The 8,636-nt window shown below is 39.0% G+C and overlaps 1 long non-coding RNA gene across 2 annotated transcripts in view; it reads left to right on the top strand.

Annotated features, from left to right (window-relative positions):
* Positions 1-1,754: 1,754 nt before the first annotated feature.
* The window catches only part of LOC107985684 (uncharacterized), a 32,370-nt gene continuing 25,488 nt past the window's right edge, over positions 1,755-8,636 (top strand). Inside the window, exons 1-2 of one of the 2 annotated variants that reach the window (XR_001755960.3) lie at positions 1,755-3,954; positions 4,744-4,806. This is a non-coding gene — a long non-coding RNA (uncharacterized LOC107985684). Of the gene's footprint in view, positions 4,807-8,636 lie in introns of both variants that reach the window. The other variant, XR_001755961.3, reaches the window with a different exon arrangement.

The following is an 8,636-nucleotide window of genomic DNA, read 5'->3' as shown; positions in this document are numbered from 1 at the left end:
TCACCTGTTAGATGTGCAGTCTCAGGTCCCACTCCAGACCTATTTAATGAGAACATGCATTTTAAAAAGATTCCCAAGTGACTCATATGCGTATTAAAGTTGAGAAGCTCTGGTCTATTATGCATCTTTCATGTTATTTTAGCTGTCCCATTTGTGGCCAACTATTTATTCATTTTGTGACATGGCTCTTGGGGTTGGGATTCCAACTATAACCTGGGTCGGGAACTCAGGAAGCACCAGAATAAAGGCTCAGTCTAGGGCTGTAAAATAGAGAACGATAAAAAATGGCCTTGGAATAGTTGGCATTAGCTTCCTGAAAACAATTTAAATTTTTCTTTAATTTGTCTTTCAATTCACCCCAACTGTTCTCCCTGCTCCCCTGTGGAACAATGATTTAAAATAATGCCATCCTATACATACCTCTTTGTTTTTAGGTCAGTTTAAATTATTTTCTCATTTTACAAGTCCCCTCACCCTTAGTCCAAATGTGTTACTGCGACACACGCAGGCCCACCATTGTCAGAGCAGATACTTTTGGATGAAGCCAGTGATCAAAAACTGGAGTTATCCAAATCTGATGCAAAGCAAAATGTTCCCAGGCAGGCCAGCCCTTACTACATCATTCCCATTTCCTTACACTCCTCCCCTATGAAAAATTCTGTCCCCCTGTTTCTGGTGTGCAGCCTAGCTTACCACTCTTCACATCTGGGGCAGAATGATTTTGTTAAGTCATTTTAGACAAAAATTGAAGCACAATTTATCTTCACTACTAATTGTGCCAGTTAGCCTCAGGAAAAGCCAGGTCCTTCATGAAAACTGCTATCAAGCCTTACAGTGGGCTTGATAAGTAGAATCTAGAACCTCCTACCTGCTTAGCTGGGTGTTTGAGTTAGTGTTGCATGGGCATCTTTCTGGAGCATATTTTTATTCAGTGTTAAGTGATCTAAAACATTTTTTAATAGCAAAGATGGCTATGTTGTGGAATATAATACTCACATGAAGTTTTAAGATAGAACACAAGACTTCAAAGAAGTTTCTGCTTGTGTCACTTTTCAAGCAGAGACTTCTTTGAAGTCGATCATTAAAAAGTCAGGAAACAACAGGTGCTGGAGAGGATGTGGAGAAATAGGAACACTTTTACACTGTTGGTGGGACTGTAAACTAGTTCAACCCTTGTGGAAGACAGTGTGGCGATTCCTCAGGGATCTGGAACTAGAAATACCATTTGACCCAGCCATCCCATTACTGGGTATATACCCAAAGGATTATAAGTCATGCTGCTATAAAGACACATGCACATGTATGTTTATTGCGGCACTATTCACAATAGCAAAGACTTGGAACCAACCCAAATGTCCATCAATGATAGACTGGATTAAGAAAATGTGGCACATAGACACCATGGGATACTATGCAGCCATAAAAAATGATGAGTTCATGTCCTTTGTAGGGACATGGATGGAGCTGGAAACCATTATTCTGAGCAAACTATTGCAAGGACAGAAAACCAAACACATGTTCTCACTCATAGGTGGGAATTGAACAATGTGAACACTTAGACACAGGATGGGGAACATCACACACCAGGGCCTGTTGTGGGGTGGGGGGAGGGGGGAGGGATAGCATTAGGAGATACACCTAATGTAAATGATGAGTTGATGGGTGCAGCACACCAACATGGCACATGTATACATATGTAACAAACCTGCACGTTGTGCACATGTACCCTAGAACTTAAAGTATAATAAAAAAATGAAAAAAATAATTTCAGAACCATTCATTAATTCAACAAACATTTATTGAGCACCTACCACATACCAGAATTTTGAAATCGGTATTGCTTTTGGGGATTTATTTTTGTAGTTTGGATTTCAATTTGAGTTTGAATTCTAGGTTTGCAGCCTATCTAGCTGTGGGAGAATGAACAAGTCCTTTAACATCTGTATCTCAGTTTTTCTGCCTATAAAATGGGAATAATAATTGCACCTAATAACGTTGCTGTAAAATTTAATAATATAATCACACAAAACGCTTACAAAAAAAAGAAGTTTCTGCTTGTGAAGGGCACTTCAAATGAGGTCTCCCATATCCCTTTACGGATATGTGTCTCTTCTCCTTTGCCATTAGGAGTAGTTACGTGGGCCAGTTTGGGAACTCTGTGTGCCAAGAATTATGCTAGATGATGAGGATACAGAGATGACTAAAACACAGGCCCTGATCTCCAGGATCTTATAATGAGGGAAAGAAAACATTCCCAAGTAGACACTGAATTCCTGGAGGATAGGGAACCATCCCCTAATTGTCATTGAGTAAATTAAACACACAGCTTTCTCTTCCTATAATGATCAGTTAACAAACATTGCCTGAGCTCCTTGCCCTGTGGGCAAGGCTGTGCTGGCAAGGCTGTGCTGGGTGCTGGTAATACAGCAATAAATCAGTCACATGCCAATCCCTCAGGTGGACCTTCTGGTACGGGAAAAATCAATGGAGCAGAGACTCACTAGACCCTGAGGGCACTGCACTCAGCTGAGAAGCACTAGAAGCAAAGATTTGCAGAGGAAGTGAGTTCCAAATGGGGTGACATTTAAGACAGAATCACCCTGCTTTGGGAAATATATCACTTCAACAACAACAAAAAGCAGTGTTACCAACTATGAAATGAAAGGAGATGCCCTTTTGTTTTGTTTCACTGAAGTGAGTTTTTAAATTATACTTTTGTATGTAAAAAAATTTCTTCATGGAACCTGTGACAAAACCATGACAAATAGCCCCAGACTAAATTTAAATTCATTGGGATGGCAGTGGCTCCGAGGGTTTCTATGTTCTCTGTCTTTAAATTTTTTTGATTGTCATAAAAAATACATAACATAAAATTTGCCATCTTAACCAAAGAGGGTGGTAGGAAACTGATTTTGTGATGCATATCTAAACACACACCTGGAAGATATTAATGTATCGAGACTGAAGGAGCCCGAGAGAGCAATTTTTTGTGGGAAAAATTGATGTACTATGCAACTTCTTCTACCACTAAAATGGAGGAAGAGAGAAGGTTCTATCATTCACCTTAAGCCAAGTATGAAAGGGTGCTTTAGTAAAACCACTAAGAGAGCTTGGCATGTGAACCTGGAGTTTGAGGGGGCTGCATAAATTCTGGCAAGAGAAACTGGCTGTGTTGAACTAGAGTGGAAGATTATAGAGAGAAAAAGCTACATACAGAGTAAATTGCTTCTCACTGACAAGAGGGCAAGAATGTGTATTGTCTGTGACCAAATTTGAAACACATGTGAAGGTGATTGCTTGGCGCCATTTTGAATTTTGCCCAAGCATAATTGAATTTACCTGGGTTCATGGTAGGTCCCAGTGGAGAGTCTGTGGGCTGGAATAGTCCAATGCCCAGGAACTGAGGGTAGAAACTGTAAGTTGACAGCCAGAGAAAATGCATCATGCAAAAACAAGTTGAAAGGCCTCAGCAGTTATCTCTGAGGAACCTATGTATTTGCCTCATAAGATGAAGAATTCATCACATCCATAATGCACCAAGATCAGCTAGCGTCTTTTACCAGTTGTGATGGTTAATTTTATGTGTCAATTTGACTGGGCCCATACATTTGGTCATACATGATTCTAGGTGTATCTGTGAGAGTGTTTTGGATGAGATTAATATTGGAATCCCTAGATGGAATAAAGAAGATGGCCCTCCCTAACGTGGGTGAGTCCCATCCAATCAGTTGAACACCTGAATAAAATAAAAATACTAACCCTCCTGTGAGTAAGAGGGAATTCGTCCTGCCTGATTGCCTTCAAATGGGGACATTAATTTTTTCCTGTCTTCAGACTTGAACTGAAGCATCAGCTCTTCCTTGTCTTGGGCCTACTGGCCTTCAGACTGGAAATACATCATCAGCTCTCCTGGGTATCCTGCAGATCTTGAGACTTGTCATACTCCATAATTAGGTGAGTCAATTCCTTATAACAAGTATATTGGATATATAATATTATATGTACATATTACAGTATATTATATATGTAATATATGTACGTAATAGAAAAAAATATATTCTATTGGTTTTGTTTCTCTGGAGAACCCTATACACCAGTCACGTAAGACTTATCTTGTTCCATACCTGTTCTTCCTCTCTTGGCTCTAACCTGGGTGAGCCATTGGCAACCTAGTGGTAGGTAAAATGGGAGGAGGAGAAAAAATTCCATGTGGGGAAATAGAAAAGAAATGGCTCTCTCCCACACCATGACTACTAAGAGACATGATCTTATCCACCAGAAGATAGTTCTGGATTAGAAGACATAAACTCTCAGTTCTGGCTCCAGTTATCTCAGGTATTAGCTGAGTAATATTTAGCAAAGTGACTCAACTTTCTTAGAACCTGTGTTTTCTAATCAGTGAAATAGGGCTTAACAAGGCCTGCCTTGCCTCCCTGATGCATTGTTAAAATGATCAAGAGCTCTAAGATACTTGAAAAAAATTAAGGTGGTAAAGCTATACACATATAAGGCATTTATATGATATGATTTCAGAGGAAGAAGAAGGGCCCTTGGCCCTCCTTGAACTTCCCTCATCTATAGGTTAATAACAAAACTTGGATTTTTTTTTGAATAGCAGAAAAATGAATATTTATTTAACATCAGCTGCATGAAAGGTCCTGGGCTGGGCATTTTAACAGAACAAACTCAGTTAATCTTCACAACATCTCTGTTTTCCTATGAATTATTATCTCCATTTTATAGATGAGTAGCCTAAAGCTCAAAGTGAAAACTTTCCCAAGATCACACACCTAGCAAGTGTTGGAGGTAAGGCAATTCATGTCTGTCTGACTCTTAAATTAATCTCCTTAATTGTCAAGTCATTCTTCTCCCCAAAGTTGATAAATGCTAAATTATAATTTTCCCTCGGAGGAATACCTGAATCTCAGTCACTCAGTGTCAGACAGCTGAGTATGACTGAGTTTGTCAACTCATTTCAGAGCATGTTTTGACTGGGGTTAAAGAATGGAAGCAGAAGGCACTGGATATCACTCAAGGATGGGATGGCATTAAAAAAGTAGAAGATATAGTGGAAAGAACAAGGGCATTGTGAATCAGTCAAGACTGGCTTTAGATTCCTGTTCTTTTATACGACTGTGATTTTGAGAAAATTATTTAGCTTACTTGAATTAAATGAGAATAAGTTTAAGGAATTTTAAGGATTGAGGTGATGTTTGTAAAGTTGAAATCTGATGTTTTGGTATGTCCAGCCCTCTGTGTCCTTTGAGGGACTGTCCCTTCCCTCATTCCATGTGATCCTAGTGGGGTTGTTAATTATGATGCCCCTCAACCTTGGCTATAGTGATAATCATATAATATAGAATGGGCCTTTTATAATATCTATCCCTTGGCAACAGTGATTGGTCCAGGGGTTGGCACCAGATCTAAGCATGACCAATAAGATGCCTTCTCTGGATTAACTTTTGGGTGCTGGGGAGAATATAAGCTTTTTTTCTGTTTGGCTTTCTAAACTGGGAGCATGTAAACCTGGAGGTGTGGGCAGTCATCTTCCCTTGCACATGGAAAGAATCTGTCTACAGAATGAACCCAATGCACAGAAAGGAGTTGAGGGGAGAGAAGTGTGCTCCTGAATCCTCCTGTATCTGAAGCAGGTTACCTGTTGCACTTTCCAATTTGTGAGTCCCCCACCCCACTTTTGTTTTTGCTTAAATAGTTTGAGTTGGGTTTCTCTTAAGTACTTTTGAAATAATCGTGACTTGTACAGTGTTATAGCATATATAAAATTCATATACATAAAAATAAAAATGCACATAGCATGAATAGTACTGAATAAATGATAATACATGTAATATAAGAAATTATTTGAAAAAACATAAATGATTTTCCGTTTGCATTTTGGGGTACATTTTTTTTCTTAGCTTAAGACATCCATTTACTTCTAAGGAAATCAGATGGAGAATAAGAAATGAAAGAAAACACTTTGGGAGACTGAGGTGGGCAGATCACTTGAGGTCAGGAGTTTGAGAACAGCCTTGTCAGCACAGTGAAATCCCGTTTCTACTAAAAATAGAAAAAAAAATAGCCAGGTATGGTGGTGCATGCCTGTAATAGCAGCTACTCAAGAGGCTGAGGCATGAGAATCTCTTGAACCTGGGAGATGGAGGTTGCAGTGAGCTGAGATGGTGCCACTGCACTCCAACTTGGGTGACAGAGCCAGAGTCTGTCTCTAAAAAAAAAAAATAAATAAATAAATAACTTTTAGCTTTTGACATTTAAAATAGAATTCTATCCCAGGAAAATATTTTGAAAGCTATACATTATTAGGAGAAGATTTTTCTAACTACCCAAATCTCCTTTTTAGCATATCAGAATCCAGGCTTGGAGAATCAAAAGTGTAAGGAGAAAAGCTCTTCCCTCTGAGGTCTGCACTGTGAGAAAAATTCAGAGAGGTAGAAGAGGCCATAACGTCCCAGTTTCTCCTCTTTACTGTGCAGTGGGTTCTGAGCCAATATGGAGTGACTCAGCTTACTTAAGTGGGTGAAAAATGTAGCAAGACAGATCTACTTCTTTGGTTTCCTGTGGTGTAAACAGTAGGTTTAGAGCTACTACACCTGCAATGGGGCCCTTTGTAATGGGGCTGGGGGAAGCTTGCGACATACTGCATGGACGAAGAGTGGAAAGAAGGGCATGAGAGATAATTCAGAAAAGCCCTAGCTCAGCAGGAGCTATGGGGAGCATTATTTATGCTACCTGTGTCAGAGACTCTTGCTTGTAGAACATAAAAAGTTGATGCTATGATTTTGGCCACAACCCAGCTTGGCTCTCCAGTGAGCTGATAGAATATGCTAGAGGAAACAAAGAGTAAAACCACTGACACTGTCAGACAGGCACAAAGAAAGTTAAAATTCTATTTTTGAAGGGATTCATGAGTGTACAGAATTAAAGTCAAGATGATCACAGTTGATGGGGTAAGATATCACATTGTCCACAAGTGTTTCTTCTGCATCCCTCTTGGGCATCCTCAGTTTACAGGGTCTGAACTATGGACTTAATTGAAGGCTTAGATGATTTGAGGGGTTCCTTTCCTCCAGTGTCCTATGATCCTATGATATGAAGTTTCTAAGAAAAAAAAATACAAGAAGTTTTATTGTAGGATGTTGACTCTTCTGCTCAGAGATGGGTTGCTCTTCATCTAATAGGTCAAAAAAGTCAGAGACTTCACAGCCAGATGGTTGAGGGTCTGGTGTCTAGTGGAAGCATGCTGTTTCAAGGTCCTGACTCCCAGACTCTGGGAACGTACTGAGCCCTATGGGAGGGGTAACATTGTAAACAGAATATTTCATTGAGAAGATTCATCTTGCCCTACTTTGTTCCCACGCCATTTTAAACAGCTGCAAATATTTGAAAGTTATTTCTTTTACTTTCTTTTTTTTTAGCCGTCAGTCATGCCAATTGTCCCATCTTTGTTCTCTGGAGCCACCCAGATTAAGTAATTTATTACAAATAGTAACTATCCCACATTATGCTAAGTGAAATAAGCCAGACCCAGAAAGACAACCACTGCATGATCTTACTTATTATGTGGAATCTTTTTTTAAAAAGTCAAATTCATAGTAACAGAGAGGAGAAGTGTAGTTACCAGTGTAGTAACAGAGAGGAGAAGTGTAGTTACCTCGGGGAAAAGGGGAGATACCGGTTAGAGTACAAACTCACAGTTATAAGACGAATAAGTTCTGGAGACCTAATGTACAGCATGGTGACTATAGATAATAAGGTCTTATATACTTAGAGTTAATGGGTGCAGCACACCAGCATGGCACATGTATACATATGTAACTAACCTGCACATTGTGCACATGTACCCTAAAACTTAAAGTATAATAATAATAAAATAAAAAAATAAAATAAAAAAGAGTAGATTTTAAGTGTTCTCATCACACACAAGAAATGTGAGGTGATAGATATGCTAATTAGTTTGATTGTAGTAATTATTTCATAATGTATATGTATGTCAAAATATGTTGTACATCTTAAATTTATACAAATTTTATTTGCCAATAATACCTCAATGAACCTGAAAAAAAGAAAAATAACCCTCCGAAGGTTTGAAAACAGTACTAATGTTTTCCCACTAAGTCTTCTCGTGGCTAACCATCCTTAGGTTTCTCAACTAGTCCTAAAAGGCCAAAACTCCAAGTCCTCTAATCATATCGGTTGCTCTTTTCTGGACACACTACAATTTTTAAGGTTACTTGTTACATATTGTGCTCACAACTGCACACAGATACTTTGGGTGTGGGCTGTCTGGTGCAATGTGATCATCATCTCACTTGATCTCAACTAGTCTTCTGCTAAGGTAGTTCACAAAGCAAGTACAAACTATTTCTTCCCAAGCCAGTAACAAGTGGCAATGACTTTTTAGTCAACCTTAGGGCATTGCAGCCCTAGAAGGTGGGGGATGATGATTGGGGTTGAGAGACACACTTAACTTTATTCCATATTTGGCTTTAATGTTCCAGTACACACCTAGTTTTGAAAATAGTTATATTTTCTCATCCTGTGGCGTGTATGGATTTGCATACAAAATCAGAAACTCACAAGCAGATTTTCTGTTTGTTCAACACTTGCTCTTGACT

This window comes from Homo sapiens, chromosome X (genome assembly GCF_000001405.40).
Source record: "Homo sapiens chromosome X, GRCh38.p14 Primary Assembly".
Taxonomy (NCBI): domain Eukaryota; kingdom Metazoa; phylum Chordata; class Mammalia; order Primates; family Hominidae; genus Homo; species Homo sapiens.
This window is presented reverse-complemented; position numbering and strand designations above follow the sequence as displayed.